Below are 21260 nucleotides of genomic sequence, written 5' to 3'. Positions count from 1 at the left end.
TGTGTGGTTCAGGCTGGTCCCAAACTCCTGCACTCAAGGAATCCTCCCGCCTCAGCCTCCCAAAGCGTTGGGATAACAGGTGTGAGCCACTGCACCTGGCTTGGTCTTTAATTACTATTATTATTGTTACTATTTTGAGACAGAGTTTCACTCTTGTTGCCCAAGCTGGAGTGCAATGGCATGATCTCGGCTCACTGCAACCTCTGCCTCCTGGGTTCAAGCGATTCTCCTGCCTTAGCCTCCTGAGCACCTGGGATTACAGGCGCACGCCACCACACCCAGCTAATTTTTTGGTATTTTTAGTAGAAATGGGGTTTCACCATGTTAGCCAGGCTGGTCTCGAACTCCTGACCTCAGGTGATCCACCCGCCTCGACCTCCCAAAGTGGTAGGATTACAGGTGTGAGCCATCGCACCTGGCCAATTATTTTTAACACAGTTAATTTATTCTAATTTTTAGGCCAGGCATCGTGGCTCATGCCTGTAATCCCAGCAGTTTAGGAGGCTGAGGTGGGAGGATCCCTGGAGCCCAGGAGTTTGAGGCGAGCCTGAGCAATATAGTGAGGTCCCCCTCTCTACAAAAAACGAGGCCAGCTTCAGCAATATAGTGAGATCCCTGTCTCTACAAAAAAAAAAAAAAATTTTTTTTAAATATTGGCTGGGCATAGTCACATGTGCCTGTGGTCCCAGCTACTTGGTGGCCCAGGCTGAGGCAGGAGGAGTGCTTAAGCCCAGGAGGGTCTAGGCTGCAGTGAGTCGTGGTCCTACCACTGCACTCCAACCTGGGCAACAGAGCAACACCCTGTCTCAATTTTTAAAAAAGTTATTCTAATTTTTAAAAACATACTCATTAAAAAAAAAAACACCATTTCTCCTGCTGATAAACTTGATTGAATGCTAAAGAAGCCCTATGGTGTTCATAATCAATGAGTAAATATTCATTTCTAACAGAGGTCAAAATATCAGTAACATATAGTTATTTATTTCAAAATGGTCCAAATAGTTGTGAAACTGAGGGCCCATATTTTGCAAGGTAAATTTTAGAATTGCGCTCATGAAAAGGATTTGCATTGGTAGAGTGTCTGTATGCTTACAGATTATATAATTTCATCCACCAAGTTGGTTAATATCATTACTACCATTTGACAGGTGAGGAAACCAAGACAGTGAAGGAAGTAGGCAGCACACAGGATGGTTCTGGCTAGCAGCGCTGTCCCATCGGATAGGGATGATGGATGGCTCTGGCGCGTGTGGTCCCATCGGATAGGGAGGATGGATGGTTCTGGTGAGGAGTGCGGCCCCGTCAGATAGGGATGATGGCAGGCAGTGGAAGGAGGCAGGTGTGAAGGAAAGCAGTTCTGGAACTGAGTCCTGACGAGCAGGGCTGGGCCCCTGGAGAGGTGCAGTGCATTCACCAAGGCCTGAGAACCGGCTGTCAACTGAGCAAGTTCAGGTGTCTCATTTGTCCACGGACCAAGGGTGGGTCCTTTCTCCTGGCATGGGCTCACTTTATCCAGGTGTAAAACCAGGATGCCAATCTATTCATTTATTTACAATGAGAAGTATGACTGCCACTGAATCAAATACTCCAAGTCCACATATTTGGTATATTTACTCCCTTCAAGCAGATGGACACTGGGAGCCAAGTCTTATAAGGCTGCTTGATGAGCTTTGATCAGAACAAGGGGAGTAGGATGAACTGACTGGAAGCAATGGGTCAAGGTGGCTTGATGCATCTGTCTCTGAAGCAGCAATGACTTTTCCTTGCTAAAGGAACTGCGATCACGCAAGTGCATGGCTTGAGACTCCATCTTTTGGGGATGTCACTGAGTGACACCTCTGGGGCTACACTGGCCTCGGTAGTGTTTCCTGTGGCTAACTGCCCCTAGGGACAGACATACCCTATTTAGTTTTTAGATATACTATTCCTTCTATCATATTCTTGTCCAGTCTTGCTCATCGGGAACCATACGGTCTCTTCAAAGTGTCTTGTCATATTTCTACTCTGTGTGTTGTTGTTACAGTTGACCTAGAGAGGACATTAGTCTAACCTCTGAGGTTGGGTTGGTGTATATCTCAGGATAACCTCCCAGTACAGCCACCATGAGGATCTTAGATGCTTAAAGAGATCATTATTTCTTTTGCTAAGTGGTACATGTTTTGCTTATTCTTAACTAGACATGTTTTTTTTTCCAAGAGAATACGGTTCTAAGGATATGATGGTGACACTATGCTTGCTTATGTGGAGCATTCCCTCCAACAGTGATAATTATGGTTATGATGACACCTGTTACTCACATACGCCATTTTACAGTTTTCAAAACACTTTCTCATGTATGACCTACTTTTGTCTTTAGAATGTTTCCCTGGGATAAATCCAAAGCTCTACGCAGGTGCTTCATTGATCTGATTTCAGAGAGGCAGGTGTGGCGGCCCTGCAGTTAGATGCGGACATTCTAGTTAAGTCTGCGTCCTACCTAGTCTGAATCTCTGACTAGCTGTGTGACCTTGAAAAAGTTGCTACCTACTCAGGAGGCTGAGGCACTTGAACCTGGGAGGCAGAGGTTGCAGTGAGCCGAGATCCTGCCACTGCCCTGCAGCCTGGGCTATGGAGCAAGACTCTGTCTCAAAAAAAAAGAAAAGAAAAGAAAGAAAGAAAGAAAAAGAAAAAGTTGATGCAGCCAGGCACGGTGGCTCAAGCATGTAATCCCAGCACTTTGGGAGGCCAACGCAGGCGGATCGCTTGAGGCCAGGAGTTTGAAACCAGCCTGGTCCACATGGTGAAACCCCGTCTCTACTAAAATTACAAAAATTAACCAGATGTGATGGTGCACACCTGTAATCTCAGGTACTACTCAGGAGGCTGAGGCACGAGAATCACTTGAACCCAGGAGGCAAAGGTTGCTGTGAGCCGAGATCACACTGCTGCACTCCAGCCTGGGCAACAGAGTGAGACTCTGTCTGAATAAAAAAAAAAAAGGTTGCTTCATCTCTTTGAGCCTTTGTTTCCTAATCTATACTATATAGATAAGAATATCCACCTTTCACCATAAAAAATGATAAGTGTGTGAGTTAACACGGATGTTAATTAGCTCGATTTAGCCATTCCACAATGTCTACATATTTCAAAACTTTATGTTGTACAGGATACATGTATATAATCTATTTGTCCATTTCAATTAATTACTTTTTTAAAAAAGAATATCTACCTTGAAAAGTTGTGATAATTAAAATGACCAGTGAGTCCTCTGACCACTTAGAAAGAGATCAAAGTAGTAATCAGGTTTCTTCTACCTCCCACATGTATACCCAGGACTGAAACAAGCCAGCCAGTAAGGCAGTTGATATTTTTACCTATTTAATATTCTTCTTTATATGGACAACACTGCGACATCACTCTTGAGCTTGCTATCATGTGCAATTTGCGTACATTATTATCTAATGTTTAAATTAGATAATTTTGCATACATTATTAGATATTATCTAATTATTAAATTAGATAAATTTGCATACATTATTATCTAATATTTAAAACTGTTCATGTTTGGTTCACAGGTATTAATTTGATATACATGTAAATTTGTTAGACCTGGACAAATTTGTCAAATTTGAAAAACTTGAAATTAGAAATTTGAACGTCTGAAAAAGCAAATACTTCCGTTGGCATCATCACACTAGAAGTTTGATTCATTTTGCTTGAATCAGAAGTTTCAGTGGGAAACAGTGATAGTTACCATCAATCCTCTGCTTTGCTTGTACTCCTTGAGGATAGTGTTGATATTTTCCACAAATCCTGTTTGGGCAGCCCATCGAATATTAAAATTCTCCTTCACAAAGAGCGCTTCCATTCTTAAGTTGACCAGTAAATGGTCAAGACAATCTTGCTGAAAGATAGAGGACAATTAGAGATTTGTCTTTTTTTGTTTAATTCTGACTGTCATAACAGACCAAAATCACTACAGTTATTAAAGAAAAACAATATACATTCACTAAACGTGGAAGTCAATTAATCCAGCACTGAGTATTTACAGAGTATCTGTGTGATACTACGTTACTTCTAAACAGTCTCCATGTCTACTCTGATGGCGGGCCACCTTCTGGCTGAACAAGTAGGAAGATACTGGAAATCCAAATTTTCTTTTTTAAAAATTTTAATTGTGTCTACTTTTTGAATACTGCAGTTTCATGGTTCAAAATCCAAAAGAACAAAAGGTGTAGAGGAAAATATTCCCGCCGAGTGCCGTGGCTCATGCCTGTAATCCCAGCACTTTGGGAGACCAAGGCGGGCAGATCACAAGGTCAGGTGGTCAAGATCATCCTGGCTAACACGGTGAAACCTCGTCTCTACTAAAAATACAAAAAATTAGCTGGGCGTGGTGGCAGGCGCCCGTAGTCCCAGCTGCTTGGGAGGCTGAGGCAGGAGAATGGCGTGAACCCGGGAGGTGGAACTTGCAGTGAGCCGAGATCGCGCCACTGCACTCCAGCCTGGACGACAGAGTGAGACTCCGTCTCAAAAAAAAAAAAAAAAAAAAAAAAGAGAAAAATATTCCCTCTGACCTTTGACCATCACCCACCCAGTTCTGCTCCTCAAGGAAACCAATAATATCAGTCCTTTCAGAAACATATTCCAGTGCAGTGTTTAGATGCAATTTATTTGCAATTTATTCTTAAAAAGAATTGCATTCTAATGCAAGCTTGAAAAGCACACTGCAAAAAACCCTATTTTTTTTTTTTTGTTGTGATGGAATTGGAATCTCAGCCTGCTTTGAATTTTAGAAAGAGGCCAAAGAAAATAATTCCCAGTGTTCGAATGGCATTTTACGTATCAAATAGCTTCCAAATACATTTTGTTTTGTTTCTTTTTTTTTTTTTTAATTTTTTTTATTTTGAGATGGACTGTCTCTCTTGTTGCCCAGGCTGGAGTGCAATGACGTGATCTAGGCTGACTGCAACCTCTGCCTCCCGGGTTCAAGCGATTCTCCTGTCTCAGCCTCCCAAGTAACTGGGATTACAGGCATGTGTCACCATGCCCAGCTAATTTTGTATTTTTAGTAGAGACAGGGTTTCACCCGGTTGGTCACGCTGGTCTCAAACTCCTGACCTCAGGTGGTCCACCTGCCTCGGCCTCCCAAAGTGCTGGGATTATAGGCGTGAATCACCGCGCCCGGCCCAAATACATTTTCTGACCAGGACCTCTGGGGGTTATTCAGGAAAGACAACTGAAGACAAGAGTAAGTTGTCTTAGGGTAGAATATCTGGTGGTGTGGTAGGAGATGAAGATGGCATTGGAACCCAGGCCTTCTGACTCCAAATCCCTCACAGATCAATGTTATTTAGCCAAAACCTATCTGATATTAAAAAAATAACAATACTCCATATTATTGAGAAAGATAGTTAAAAAAAAAAAAACACCGCATATACTAACCGTTAAGTCCTTGGTTAGGTATGCATTTTCTCTGGGTATTTTCTGGATTTTCCCAGGGCCAGTATTTTTACTGATACACTGTTAGAGGAAAATCGAAATATTAGTTGGTTTACCTGGAAGGTTTTACTTTATATAAAACTCAAATGGGCCAGGCGCAGTGGCTCACGCCTGTAATCCCAGCACTTTGGGAGGCCAAGGTGGGCGGATCACCCGTAATCAGGAGTTTGAGACCAACCTGGCTGACATGGTGAAACCCCGTCTCTACGAAAAATACAAAAGTTAGCCAGGCGTGGTGGCGTGTGCATGTAGTCCCAGCTACTCAGGAGGCTGAGACACGAGAATTGCTTGAACCTGAGAGACAGAGGTTGCAGTGAGTTGAGATCACACCACTGCACTCCAGCCTGGGCGATAGAGCGAGACTCCATCTCAAAAGCAAACAAACAAACAAACAAACAAACACCCTCAAATGAATGTGAACATAATTGAATTTTTTTAAATAGCATTAGTGCCAAGTAGTGGAGATAACGATGAGTGTGGCCCAGGATCTGCCCTCAAGAGCTCCCAGTGTGAAAAGAGAGACAGAACTGTACACAGATATTTATCATGTGGAGTGTTTGCAGCTCAGCAAAGGGGATTCTGTGCTGTAGTCTGAATGTCTGTGTCCCACAGAATTTACATGTTGAGATCTTCACCCTTAAGCTGATGGTAGTAGGAGCTGGGGCCTTTAGGAAAGTGGGTCTTGAGGGTAGAGCCCTCAAGAATGAGATTAGTGTCTTATAAAAGGATCCCAGAGAGTGCCTTAGCCTCTCCACCATGTGAGGACGCACGGAGAAGGTGACATCTATAAAGCCAAAAAGCAGGCCCTCGTCAGGCACTGAATCTGCCTTTTTTTTTTCCCCACAATTTTTTTGTTTGTTTGTTTTTGAGACAGGGTCTTGCTCTGTTACTCAGGCTGGAGTGCAGTGGCACGATCTCAGCTCACTGCAACCTCTGCCTCCCAGGTTCAAGCAATTCTCCTGCCTCAGCCTCCTGAGTAGCTGGCATTATAGGCGTGCATCACCACGCCTGGCTAATTTTTGTATTTTTAGTAGAGAAGGGTTTTCACCATGATGGCTAGGCTGGTCTCAAACCCCTGACCTCAAGGGATCTGCCTGCCTGGGCCTCCCAAAGTGCTGAGATTACAGGTGTGAGTTACCACACCTGGCCATGCCGTAATTTTTTTTTTTTTTTTTTTTTTTTTTTTTTTTTTAGAGATAGGGTCTTGTTCTATTGCCCAGGCTGCAGTGCAGTGGTGCAATTATAGCTCACTGCAGCCTTGAATTCCTGGGTTCAAGCAATCCTCGCACCTTAGCCTCTCAAGTACATGGAACTATAGATGTGCACCACCAAGCCTGGCTAATTTTTAAAATTTTTTATAGAGAGGGAGTCTCACTATGCCCAATGCTGGTCTTGGACTCCTGGCCTGAGGTGATTCTTCCACCTGAACTTAAAGTGCTGGAATCACAGGTGTGAGCCACCGTGCCTGGCTGAATCTGCCTTGATCTTGCACTTCCCAGCCTCTGGAACTGTGAACAATAAATGTCTATTTTTTATAAGCTACTCGGTTTATGGTATTTTGTTGTAGCAGTTCAAACAGACTAAAACAACCTGGGATGAAGAGAGACACCTGTCGCGTGCAGGAGGTGGGAATGAGGCAGGGAGAGTGCACAGGAAGATAGATAAACTGAATTTCTTTTCTTTTTTTTTTTTTTTTGACAGGGTCTCACTCTGTCACCCAGGCTAGTGTGCAATGACACAATCTTGGCTCACTGCAACCTCTGCCTCCTGGGCTCAAGTGATCCTCCCACCTCAGCCTCCTGAGTATCTGGGACTACAGGCACACCACCATGCACGGCTAATTTCTGTATATTTTTTTTTGGTAGAGATGGGGTTTCACCATGTTGCCCAGGCTTGAGCTGAATCTTAAAAATGAATAGGGAGTAGCCAGGAGAAGGGCAGGAGAAGGCTGCACTAGCTGGGCCGCATGGTAGCTGCTTTAGCCAGAGCAGCCTGGACTGGAAGAGGAAGCTGTCCCAGATCTAGACTCCTGATGCTGGGCACAATGGCTCAGACCTCTAATCCTAGCACTTTCAGAGGCCGAGGTGGCAGGATCACTTGAGCCCAGGAGTTTGAGGTTGCAGTGAGCTAAGATCACACCACTGCATTCCAGCCTGGGTGACAGAGCAAGACCCTGTCTCTAAAACATTAAAAACAAACTTAGCCAGGCACTGTGGCTTACCCCTGTAATCCCAGCACTTTGGGAGGCAGAGGCGGGAGGATCATTTGAGCTCAGGAGTTTCAGACCAGCCTGGTGACATGGTGAGACCTCATTTTGACAAAAAAAGAAAAAGAATGAAAATTAGCCAGGTACGGTGGTGCACGCCTGTGTTCCCAGCTACTTGGAAAACTGAGGCAGGAGGCTCTCTTGAGCCCAGGATGTCAAGGGTGCAGTGAGCTATGATCACACCACGGCACTCCAGCCTGGGCGAAAGAGCGAGACTCTGTATCAAAAAAATAAGTAAATAAACAAATAAATAATATTAAAAATAGAACTCCTGGAATTGGCCAGTAGGTTGGTGAACCTGATCATATCAATACTTTGGGGCAAGTGCCTATTGGCGGATTTTCGTATTCTGGTGTGTCATCTGCGTGTGTGTCTGGGGTGCAATGATCGCCATCTTCTTAACCTGAGCCCTACAGCAGTCTTTCTTATTTCCCTCTGTACATATAAAAGAGAAAGGCTATTTTGGTAGTAACCTCAAAGTATATACTGCAAATGCAGATAGTGAGTTTGGGTTTTACGGATATTCTTCTTAGGAGTCCCAGTTTTGTTAGCACAACTGATTGGGGGCAAAACTTTTTAATTTATTTTTATTTTAATTTTTTATTTTTTATTTTTTGGAGATGGAGTCTTGTTCAGCCGCCCAGGCTGGAGTGCAGTGGCACAATCTTGGCTCACTGCAACCACCGTCTCCTGGGTTCAAGCGATTCTCCTGTCTCAGCCTCCCGAGTAGCTGAGATTACAGGCACCCGCCATTATGCCCGGCTAATTTTTGTATTTTAGTAGAGATGGGGTTTCATCATGTTGGTCAGGCTGGTCTTGAGCTCCTGACCTCAGGTGATCCACCCGCCTCGGACTCCCAAAATGCTAGGATTACAGGCATGAGCCACCGCGCCCAGCCAGCAAAACTATTTACGATATGTCATCAAAGTATGGGATGAAACCACTGTACCTTGACTATGTCTTCCAGGGTATGAACAGACTCATCCACAGCAACCAGGTAGTGAGGCTTTGGCACGTGATCTATGACGTTTTGTATCACTCTGCAGACCCACAGGTAAAATAATCATCAAAGGGAAAAAGCGAAAGAGATGCAGTAAACTAGAATTCACTGACCACCACCCCCATGGCTGGGCGTGGGGTTTGGTGCTTTGATAAGTTATCTCCATTTTCAATACGGTCAGGGTTGGGATGGTTATCTGCATTCTCCACATGAGGAAGATGCTAAAGGGTTCGGTGACATTTCTCAGGCTGAAGAGCTATTGCGAAAGTGGAAGAGCCAGCTTTTGAGGTCAGATGCATCTGGTTCTGGACCTGTCTTCTTTCTAGCATACTGCCCTGTCTCCCAACAAGGGGAACTGCCCCCAGCAGGACCGGCCCCCAGCAGGACCCCAGTTTATGAAGCCCTCCCCATCTAGGGGCTCGTGTGAGCCTCACAACAATGCTTTAGGGAGGTATTTTACAAAGTAAGACACAGATTTAGACAAGCTGTGGCTCTTTAAGGAAGTCACGCAGCAACAGTGCCTGAGCCTGCTTTCCTATCCCAGTTGCCAAGGTTTCCGAGCGCTTGCTTCTGTGCTGAGGGTGGCACAGGTGTGATCCCACTAAATTTTCACAGCCCTAGCATGTAGGTGCTGCTCCTATCCCCGTAAGTAACTTCCCTAAATTCACACAGCTAGTGAGAAGCAGAGCAGGGATTGGAACAAAAATTAAATTCCAGAGAGAAACAACAGTGAATAGATGTCTATCACAATGGCTTGTCAATTCTACCTCCATCTTAGCTTCCTTTCAATAAAATGAAAATAAATCGAATGCACGCTTCCAAATGTGCAGTTCACATTTATTTTGTATTCATTTCTTTTTTTCTATATTTATTTATTTATTCACTCATTTATTTATTTATTTTGAGTCTCGCTCTGTTGCCCAGGCTGGCAGGCAGTGGTGTTATCACGGTTCACTGCAGCCTCAAACTCCCAGGGTCAAGTGATCCTCCCGCCTCCACCTCCCGGGTAGCTGGGACTGCAGGCATGAGCCACCAAACCCGACTAATTTTTGTATTTTTTGTAGAGACAGGGTTTCACTATGTTGTCCAGCCTGGTCCCGAACTCCTCGGCTCAGGCGAACCTCCCACCTTGGCCTCCCACAGTGTTGGGATTACAGGCATGAGCCACTGCACCTAGCCTATTTTCTACCCATTTCTCAGAACATTTCAGCTTTTTGCTTTTTCCTCTGTTAAATATTTGACAATCTTCAAAGAAACCTCTGGGGAAAAAATGCTACTTAAAAGGGTCTGTCAAAAGACAAAATTATAACAAATCTAGTTAAAGATTTCAATGGACTTTATTTGTGATTCTAGAATCAGGCAACATTTCATTCCATAAAATAGAACAAGTGTGTCAGTGAAATGAGCAGAGGCGGGTAGTTTGATAGGCAGAAAGGGCTGCAGAAAGCAGAAACAAAGAACAAAAAGCACATTGGTCATTTCAAAGTTAGTTTCCTTGTAAGGCAGGGACAAGGAGAACAACATAAAGATAACTAATGGGGCTGGGCGTGGTGGCTCACGCCTGTAATCCCAGCACTTTGGAAGGCTGAGGCGGATGGATCACCTGAGATCAGGAGTTCGAGACCAGCCTGACCAACATGGTGAAACCCTGTCTCTACTAAAAATACAAAAAATAGCCAGGCGTGGTGGCCGGCGCCTGTAGTCCCAGCTACTTGGGAGGCTGAGGCAGGAGAATCGCTTGAACCCAGGAGGCGGAGGTTGCAGTGAGCCAAGGTTGTGGCACCGCACTCCAGCCTGGGTGACAGAGCGAGACTCCATCTCAAAAGGAAAAAAAAAAAAAGGAAAGATAACCGATAGGTTAGTACCAGGTTACTTTAGGCTACTTTTTGCCATAAGGATTAAAACACAGAGAGCTTTATTATCATGCCTATTGAAGACTGAAACTGGCTTGTTTGGGAAATTAGCTGTTGTTGCTCTCTTTGGCTTTCTCGAAAGGTCAGGTAACAGCTTAGTTTCAGTTTGGTGACTGGAACTTTGGCATGGGTGACTCCATTTTGATTTTCAGTCTGGTCTGTTGGGGCCTAGTACAAGAACTTACTCCAAAACAATGGCCTCCTATAACTTGTTTTTAACAGGCTCTAAGTCCTTCTGTAATGGCAATCATTTCACCCTCTAATTTATGTTTGGACGTAATATGTTAAGGATTAATGCCAAGTAAGTTATATTAATAATGTAAAAGACTCTTCTGTATCTTTGAAACCCAGTAATGTCATAATGTAAAATCTCTGCAGAAAAAAATGGGTATGTTTCGGCCCCTCCATCCCCAGGGATGGAGCAGATCCAGGGTTTTGTAGTGCCTGAAGCTTAGCCCATTTACAGCAAGCTTGTCAAACCAGGGCCTGTGGGCTGCGTGAGGCCCAGGATGGCTTTGAATGTGGCCCAACACACTTTGTAAACTTTCTTAAAACATTATGAGTTTTTGGGCCGGGCGCAGTGGCTCACGCCTGTAATCCCAGCACTTTGGGAGGCTGAGGCGGGTGGATCATGAGGTCAGGAGATGGAGACCATCCTGGCTAACATGGTGAAACCCCATCTCTACTAAAAAAATACAAAAAATTAGCCAGGCATGGTGGCGGGTGCCTGTAGTCCCAGCTACTTGGGAGGCTGAGGCAGGAGAATGGCATGAACCTGGGAGGTAGAGCTTGCGGTGAACCGAGATTGTGCCACTGCACTCCAGCCTGGGCAACAGAGTGAGACTCCATCTCAAAAAAAAAAATTATGAGTTTTTTTTGTTATTTTTTTTAAAGCTCATCAGCTATCGTTAGTGTTAGTGTATTTTATGTGTGGCCCAAGACAAATCTTCCAATGTGGCCCAGGGAAGCCGAAAGATTGGATATCCCTGACTCATAGGATCCTTCTTTAAGAAAAATAATAAAAATTAGGTTCAGGGTCTTGGAAAGGGATCTGCTCAGGGGTGTGGCCCTGAAGTTTAAACTTCCTTCATTTCCCAGTAAGTCTAGAAATTTATCTGAGATTGTGACTAATTTACTAGTGGCCAGTGGATGAGAGAAAGAGTGGGAATCTGAAAACCAGAACCTCAGGGAAGTGCAGAAATTGCTCCTTTCTGGGGATGTGCCACAGGGGTGACAGAATGAAGTCCCCGGAAGCTGGAGCTGATGAACCACAAACACAGTGAACCAACTCATTGACCTCACGTTTAAGTCAGGGTCTTCAAAGGAAGAGAAGGGTTTCTGGACCTGTCTGAATACAGGGTTTAGATGCTCTGTGAGTATAAAAAACATATGTCAACTTTACCTACAACTGTCAAAGAAGGAAAAAGCTTCAGGTTTACAGTTTTCCATTTGAATTCTAGAATTTAAGTTGACGGGTTAGACATATTAATCTCATCTGGGACAAAGGAATAAGAAACTACGTCCTCAGAATGTACACACCAAGTTCTTTCTTTTCCAAAATTGGAGGGCATTGCTATTCTGTCGATAGTTTCTAAGAGATGAACCTGAACTTGTCACCAGAAATGTAGAACTTTTGAACAGTGGGCACTATTTCATTAGATGCAAAATGGAGAAGACGGTACCTTCTGCATAGGGTTGTTACGAAGAATGAACACAATAATCCATGTAAGGGTCTTAGCACTAGGCAAATGCTCAAAAAGTATTAGGCTACAAACAAACACATTAACCAATTCTGTGAAGGTCACGTCTCTGGGCGAATGCTTACCCTGCTAGATCAAGAACATGGATTGTTGGAATTACATTTGTTCCATCGCCAAAAACTGGTAATGCAGGAATCTCGCCCAACCAAGCCATCTGAAAGGAAGAAAAGCAAAATCATGTCCCCCAGTTATATGTGGATGGCTATTACAGCTCACACATAAGTCTACAGTCAGAGGCAACTGAAAGGCCTAGCTATCTGCTTAAGTAATTTCCTCTAGGGGGTGTTTTATAAATCAGCCCTGATGAGATTTAGGATCAAATTCTGCCAAGAGAAATAGTGTGTAGCCCTGGGACTGAATCAAATTCTGCCAAGAGAAATAATGTGTAGCCCTGGGACTGAATCAAATTCTGCCAAGAGAAATAATGTGTAGCCCTGGGACTGAAATACTTTTCAAGAAATCTACAACCTCTCAGCCGTATTTAGTAGCTATACGCATGGCATTCACATAGAGAAGAAATGTTTTCACATGCATGATGTCTTAATTCTCACAAAAAGACAAATTAAAATTTAAAATTACCCCCACCAGTAGGGATGAGGTGAGGGGAAATAAGTACCATCAGTCCAGGGGTGAAATGCTTAGCGGATAAGTAGCATGCAGGAGGATACACTTGTGAGAGCTTGGACTGGAACCCCGATCCTCAGAGTCCAAATCCTCATCTTTTCTTCTCATTAAGTATTTCAGTAACCAAACAGACATGATGAGTACTGTTTAAGTGTCACATATTAGATTATTTTGAATTGTTGTTAAGAGTGAAAGAGGTAGGGGTAGGGGTCACAGTAGACCACTGGGTCTTGTAAGATATTTTGGACTTTCAGAAAGTATTGAAGGGTTCTAAGCAGTGATGTGACACCAGCAGGCTTGCTTTTGTTGCCTTGTGGAGAAGTGGCGGGAAGGAGAGTCCAGTGGGGACAGAGGGGTGATGGCAGGTGTGCAGGCGAAATAGGGTAGCTTAGCCTGGAGGTGGGAAGTGCAGGGAGTGGGGATGGAGAGAAGGGAGACATTGAGGAGGCTGACTGTAGTAACTGGGAATTTTATGATGGGTAATGTGAAAGGAAAATAAACCTTGGGACCCCAAAATCACTAAGCCAAAGGGAAAAGTCAAGCTAGGAACTACATAAAGCAAACCTGTCTCTCATTCAAAGATTTTATTTTGTTTTCTTTTTTTTTTTTTTTTTTTTGAGACGGAGTCTTGCTGTGTCACCCAGGCTGGATGGAGTGCAGTGGCAGGATCTCAGCTCACTGCAACCTCTGCCTCCCAGGTTTAAGTGATTCTCCTGCCTCAGCTTCCCGAATAGTTGGGATCACAAGCATGTGCCACCACACCTGGCTAATTTTTGTATTTTTAATAGAGATGGGATTTCACCATGTTGGCCAGGCTGGTCTCGAACTCCTGACCTCAGGTGATCTACCCGCCTCAGCCTCCCAATATGCTGGGATTACTGGCGTGAACCACCATGCCTGGCCTCATACCTTCCTCACAATTTGCCCACTATGAAATTATCTGTAGGCCCCAAGAGCTTTACCCGAAAACAGTTCTGTTGAATTTCACCCTGACAATGTAAATTGACAGCTTATCTTCACAGGTACAGGACAAGGACAGAACTCAAAGTCATCCCTAGGCTCACCTGACACAAATGCCTATCTGATTGCTTCCTCGGCCCTATGTCTATTTTATCTTACATAAAAATGCAGATTCGCTGAGCTAGATAAATGCATAAGTGACTATTCCTCTACCCTTCCCTCATGTCGAACAGCTGATCAAAGACTCAAAAGAATGTGCCCGCTTGCCTCTTATCTACCCACACCTTTTATTTATTTTTTGCAGATGCAGGGTTTCACCATGTTGCCCAGGCTGGTCTCAAACTCCTGGGTTCAAGCCATCCACTCACACTGGCCTCCGAAAGTGCTTTACTGGGATTATAGGCATCAGCCACCATGCCTGGCTTACCCACATCTTTAAAAAATTTCTTCCTCTTTCTCTAATATCTACCCTTTTCCCTTTAAATATTGAAGCACTCAAAGTCATCTTTGGAGAAAGGCACAGGCCTATCTCCTGGGCGTGCATCCTTAACCTTGGCACAATAAACTTCTAAATTGATTGAGACCTGTCTCAGAAACTTTTTGGTTTGCAGTAAGGAGGGAGGAGTTGGATTCTGATCATGTAGCTGGTTGGAGGGTTACCCCATTTTCTGAGATGGGGCCTTGGAGGAGGAGCAGGTTTGGGGATGACTGTAGGTATAGTTTGGATTTGGGAAAGACATCCAAGTTGAGGTGCTGAGTAGGCAGCTGGACCTACAGAGCTAGAACTTAGGAGAGAGAGCCTCGCTGGAGACTGAAGTTTGAGTCATTGGTATCAGTCATAGGAATAAACAGACCAAGGGAGAGAGAGCAGAGGGTGAAGAAAAAAGGTCTAGGGCCGAGGCCTGCGAATGCCAAGATTCAGTGAGCAGGTAGGTGAGAAGTAGCTGAGAATGGACAATGAGTAAGAGCTTCCTTGAGCTTCTCCTCTGCAACTGTCATATCTCTTGTATTAAAAAAATCAGTTCGAGGCCGGGCACGGTGGCTCACGCCTGTAATCCCAGCACTTTGGAGGCTGAGGCGGGCGGATCACGAAGTCAGGAGTTCAAGACCAGCCTGGCCAATATGGTGAAACCCTGTCTCTACTAAAAATACAAAAATTAGCTGGGCATGGTGGCACACACCTGTAATCCCAGCTACTCGGGAGGCTGAGGCAGGAGAACTGCTTGAACCCAGGAGGTGGAGATTGCAGTGAGTTGAGATTGCACCACTGCACTCCAGCCTGGGTGAAAGAGTAAGACTCCTTCTTTAAATAAATAAATACATAATAAATAAATCAAATAAAAATTAAAAATCAGTTCAACCAACCTCTCTTGACTACACTTTATCCTTTAACTCCGCCTTCTTTCTTTGCACCCCCCTCCTTTTACAGGAAAATTCCTTGAAATATTTCTCTGTTCTCATTGTCTTCAATTCCCCTCCAGCTGTTCCTCTTGAACCTGCGGCTGTTAGACTTTTGTCCTACCTAGTGCCAAAAAATTTAGCGGTCAATTTGTAGGTTTCATCTTAGTTGATTATCTGCAGTATCTGACACAATTTGTCATTCTTTCTTTTTAAAAACTTTTTTTTTTTTTTTTTTGAGATGGAGTCTCGCTCTGTCACCCAGGCTGGAGTGCAGTGGTGCAATTTCGGCTCACTGCAAGCTCCGCCTCCTCGGTTCACACCATTCTCCTACTTCAGCCTAACGAGTAGCTGGGACCACAGGCTCCCGCCACCATGCCCGGCTAATTTTTTGTATTTTTAGTAGAGACGGGGTTTCTCCGTGTTAGCCAGGATAGTCTTGATCTCCTGACCTTGTGATCCGCCTGCCTTGGCCTCCCAAAGTGCCGGGATTACAGGCGTGAGTCGGCCAAAAATATTTTTTTTAATAATTATTTACTTTTCTCTTATTTCCTCTCCTGCTTCCTGCCCACCCTTCTCAACCTCCTTTCCTAATTCCTTCCCATTTCCCTATAACCTCCAATATTGGAGGGTTCCAAGACTCAGTCCTCAGGCCCCTATCTCTTCTCCATATTCATTCAGTAGTTGATGTCATCCAGTCCCAAGGATTTAAGTACCCACTGTATACTGACAGCTCCCATGATTATATCTCCAGACCTGACCTCCCCCATGATCACCAAACTCTTTTTGTCCAATAGCCTTCCCAGTATCTATACTTGGATATTAATTATCTCAAACTTCCTGAACTTTTCATTGCATTGTACCCCAACCAGCTCCATTCCCTGTCTTCCCCATTTCAATAAGTGGCAGTGCCATACTTCTAGTTGCTTAGACCAAAATCCTTAAAGTTATCCTTTACTATGTTTCTGTCATCCTTACATCCAAGCTTTGAACAAATCCCATTGACTCTCTCTTCAAAATACGTCTGAAATCTGAACAGTTTCCAGTATCCCCACCATGCCCACCCAGGTCTTAGGCACTACCCTGCTCACTGGTTTCCTTGCTTCCTGCTCCTGCCCATGCCCCAAATAGTACATCCTCAGCACAGCAGAAGGAGAAAGCTGTCCTTTTATATCATATGGATTATGTTGCTTCTGTGCTCAGTCTAATGGTTGTCCAACTCACTCAGAAAGAAAGCCAGAGCTTCACGAGGGGCTACCAGGCTGGGCTTGGTCTGACTCTCTCATTACCGCTTTGACCTCATTACCGCTGTTCTCCCATACTTCAGCTAGATTGATCTAGATTGGTCTTCAAATGTAGCCAGCACATTTCTGCCTCACTTCTTTGCAGTAACAATTCTCACTGTCTGGGATGTCTTTCTCCAGAAAGCCGATTAGCCAGCTCCTTCATTGCCTTTCCCTTCCTACTCAAATGTCACATCGTTGGAAAGACCTTCCTCAACCTTCCTATATAAGATATAACAGCCCCAATCCCCGCAACCTTACTCCCCAGCACTCTCTGCCTTTCTCTGCTCTGTTGTTTTCCATACCCTGTTTCAACATCTGAAATACTCAACATTTACCGGCTTGCTTATTATCTATCTCTTTCTCCATCCCCCTAGAATGTAAGCTTCGCAAGAGGAGGGACTTTATTATTTTACTGTATCCCAAGTACCTACAACAGTTTCCAGCACCTGATGGGCACTACATCAATATCTGTTTCATGAATGAAAGGAGATACGTCTTTTTCATTATTATTTTGAGAGTGGTGAATACAAGTTAATAATGGGAAAGAAACGTAGGTCTTTGTGGTGACATCCATACTTGCCTTCATCTTCTGCTATTCTACTGCACTAACCACACCCAAAGCAATCAAAAACACCTTCAAATTGCGTATCTGTATCGTAAGACACTTTTAAACATTCCACGTCATCATTGAAAGCCATACCTTAAAAAATGTGTGTAACATGCCTCCTTCCGCTCCATACTGGAGTCCAGCAGCAACTACGTATGCTGCAAATTTTCTGGCCTATTAGATAAAATACAGAAAAAAAAAGCTGGATGTAATATTATTAGTCATACTGAACCAGATTATTTTAGTAGTTAAAATGAGCACTTTCAGAACTTCCGTCAACTCTTGCAGGTTACTGAGTATTGTTCGGGATACAAATCCTATCTCTTAAAGAGAGAAACGACACCCCCGCACTATTCAGGAATACCTCTGACTACTATTAAAATTTAACAAGGACTCCTAATTAAATTAAAGCCAGGGTTTTTGTGAAAACTTTGTACCTGTAAGCTCTATGCTCGGCACTGAGGGGGAAAAGAGAAAGAAAAACAGGTCTTTCCACGAGGATCTTTAATGATCTAGTACCTGAAACCAAGAAGCTGGTAATGGGCCTTAACACAAGGATGGAAATTCACATGGATTGTCCACTTCACTCTGGACAAGCAGTTTAGGCACTGTAAGAACTGGAGTCAGTATTCCTTTATTTTTAATTTTTAATATTTGTGGGTACATAATAAGTATATAGATTTATGGGGGTGCATGAGATGTTTTGATACAGGCATGCAATGTGAAATAAGCACAACATGGAGAATGGGGTATCCATCCCTTCAAGCATTTATCCATTGAATTACAAACACTCCAATTATACTCTTTAAGTTATTTAAAAATCTATAGTTCAGTTATTACTGACTATAGTCTCCCTGCTGTGCTATCAAATAGTAGGTCTTATTCATTCTTTCCAACATTTTTTGTACTCATTCACTATCCCTCCCTCCCCCCACCCCCTACTACCCTTCTCAGCCTCTACTCTCTGCCTCAATATTTAACCAGATAAGCTCAAAATACCATCTTTATTATTGATATGAGTTCTGCTGGAGGCCATGCCTTAGGTGAGCCATGATGATGAGCTTCCTAACCCTGAATCCAGAATAAGATGAACTTTTCCAACCAGTCCCAGGCCACACTGGACAGCGAGGGACTCCTCCACATGGCGGCCTGCTGCTGTAAGTCTCAGGGCATGAGGAAGGTGAAATGCACAGTAGCCACCATCCCTGGAGTCCCAGAGAGAAGGGAAGGAGGAGGGGCCAAGCTCACATGGCCAGGCCCTCCTCAAACCCACCAATCAGAAAACTCGCTTGAACTTCTTCAGGCGAACAGGGGATGGTGCAAGAAGACAGGAGTTTTTTGTTTGTTTGTTTGTTTGTTTGTTTTGAGACAGAGTTTCACTTGTTGCCCAGGCTGGAGTGCAGTGGCATAATCTAGGCTCACTGCAACCTTGGCCTCCTGGGTTCAAGTGATTCTCCTGCCTCAGCCTCCCAAGTAGCTGGGATTACAGGTGAGAACCACCATGCCCAGGTAATTTTTGTACTTTTAATAGAGACAGGGTTTCCCCATGTTGGCCAGGCTGGTCTTGAACTCCTGACCTCAAGTGATTCACCTGCCTCGGCCTCCCAAAGTGCTGGGATTACAGGTGTAAGCCACTGCGCCCGGCCTACAGGAGTTTTTAGGAAGAATGTTACTCAGGCTCTTGTGGGAAGGTAGTGATCTCACCTCACAAATATTAGGCCTGAAAAGGAGGACTTAACCACAAATACAATAGAGATTTTAAAAATTGTAAGACAGACTTAAGGACAACTTTCTGTCAATTGATTTGAAAATTTAGCCTAAAGGGCTCATTTCTTGCCCCCAAACACCTGTTAACTGCCTTCCCACAGTCCAAGACAGTTTTTCAACCAAAGTCTACCAAACAGTCAAAAGATAATCCCAGAGGCAGGGCAAGATGGCGGGATGGAAATCTCCCCTGCAAGGACAACAATAACTACCTACACAGAAAAAACAGCTTCATAAGAACCAAAAATCAGGTGAGCCCTCACAGTACCTATTTTAACTTCATATCGCTGAAAGAGGCACTGAAGAACCAGAAAAAACAGTTTGGAATCGCCAAAGCCACCCACCCTCACCAGCAGGAGAGCATCTCTGGGTGCTGCAGGAGGGAGAACACAGCATTTGAGAGGCATTGAACTCAGCACTGTCCTGTTAGAGCAGAAAGAAAAACCAGACCAAATTCAGCTGATGCCAGCCCAGCCCATGGAAGGAGCATTCAAACCAGCCTGAGTCAGAGGGGGCTCTCCGGTATCAGCGGTCGTAATTTAAGTGCCTCCAAACCTCGCCACCGAGGGCTACAGCGCTCTGTGTCTCCAAGCAAACTTGAAAGACAATCCAGGCCATAAGGACTGCAACTCTAGGTGAGTTCCAGTGCTGAGCGAGGCCCAGAGACAGTGGACTGGGGAGGGCATGCAACATACTGAGACACCAGCTGGAGCAGCCAAGGAAGAACTGGTACCACCTCTCCTCTAACCCCAAGCTGCATGGCTCGTGGCTCCGAAGAGACTCCTTCCTTCTGCTTGAGGAGCAGAGAGGGAAGAGTAGGGGGGACTTTGTCTTGCATCTAGAACACCAGCTCAGTCACATTTCTAGATACACCCTGGGCCAGAAAAGGAACCTGCTGCCTTGAAGGAAAGGACCTAGTCTCGGCAGCATTCATCACCTGCTAACTTGAGAGCCCTTGGGCCCTGAATAACCAGCAGTGATACCCAGGTACTATGTTGAGGGCCTTGGATGAGCCTTCTGGCTTCAGGTGAGATTCAGCACATTCCCAGCTGTGGTGACTACAGGCCAAAACTCCTTCTGCTTGAGAAAAGCAGAGGGAACAGTAAAGGGGACTTTGTCTTGCACCTTAGGTGCCAGCATGGCCAAAGTTAGGTAGAGCACCAAGGAGGCTCTTGGGGTCCCTGCCATGACTTGACTCTTGAATGGCATTTCTGGACCTGCCCTGGGCCAGAGGGGAGCCTACTTTCCTGAAGAGTGAGTCCCATCTGAAGGGTGAGTCCCAGGCCAGGCAGCAGTCAAGACCAGCTGACTTAAGAGATCTTGGACCCTAAGGGAACATCAGCACTAGTCTGTCAGTACTCCTTGTGGCCTGGGGTGGCTACTGGATGAGGCTCCTCTGTCTTTGGAAAGAAGAGGGAAGACTGGGAAGGACTACGTCTTGTGGTGTGAGTGCTAGCTCAGCCGCAATACAATAGAACGCCAGGTAGACTTCTAAGGTTTATCACTCTAGTCCCTGACTCCCAGATGGCACTTCTGGACCCACCTGGAGCCTGGGGGACCTTGCCACCCTGAAGGGAAGGAAACAGACCTGGCTGGTTATGCCACCTGCTGATTGTGGAGCCCCAGAGCCCTGAGTGAACACAGGCAGTAACCAGGGAGTGGTTACAGCAGGCCTTGGGCAAGACCCAGTGCTGTGCTGGCTTCAGGTCTGACCCAGCACAGTCACAGTGGTGGTGGCTACAGGGTTGCTTGTGTCACTCCACCCCCAGCTTTAGGTGGCTTAGAACAGAGAGAGAGAGAGAGAGAGAGAGAGAGAGAGAGACAGACAGACAGAGAGACTGTATATTTGGAGAGATGTAAGGGAAGAGAACAAGAGTCTGCCTGGTAATCCAGAGAATTCTTCCAGATTTAGTCTAAGACTATCAAGGCGATACCTCTATGAGTCTGCAGGAATTGCAGCATTATTGGGCTTGGGGTGCCCCCTAAAGCAGATACAACATAGATCATAACACCCATGTCCTTTTGAATATCTGGAATGCCTTCCCAAGAGGGACAGGTACAAACAAGCCCAGACGGTGAAGACAACAATAAATACCTAACTCTACAATGCCCAGATACTGAAGAACGTCAACTAGCATCAACACCAACCGGGAAAGCATGACCTCACCAAATGAACTAAATAAAGCACCAGGGATCAATCC

The 21260-nt window shown here is 44.7% G+C and overlaps 1 protein-coding gene across 10 annotated transcripts in view; it reads right to left on the bottom strand.

Annotated features, from left to right (window-relative positions):
- Positions 1-21260, bottom strand: part of AK7 (adenylate kinase 7) — a 97300-nt gene that overhangs the window by 34124 nt on the left and 41916 nt on the right. For 6 of the 10 annotated variants that reach the window (XM_006720021.3, NM_152327.5, NM_001350888.2 and 3 more), the window contains exons 6-10: positions 17389-17469; positions 12486-12574; positions 8697-8787; positions 5425-5502; positions 3734-3883 (exon numbers count right to left, since the gene is read on the bottom strand). In XM_006720021.3, the coding sequence (XP_006720084.1) occupies positions 3734-3883; positions 5425-5502; positions 8697-8787; positions 12486-12574; positions 17389-17469 (489 nt within the window). The remainder of the gene's footprint in view (positions 1-3733; positions 3884-5424; positions 5503-8696; positions 8788-12485; positions 12575-17388; positions 17470-21260) is intronic. The other 4 variants (XM_006720022.3, NM_001350891.2, XM_047430913.1 and 1 more) reach the window with 1 other exon arrangement.

This window comes from Homo sapiens, chromosome 14 (assembly GCF_000001405.40).
Source record: "Homo sapiens chromosome 14, GRCh38.p14 Primary Assembly".
Lineage (NCBI taxonomy): Eukaryota > Metazoa > Chordata > Mammalia > Primates > Hominidae > Homo > Homo sapiens.
Note: the sequence above shows the minus strand (reverse complement) of the source record. Positions and strands in the feature narration are given on the sequence as shown.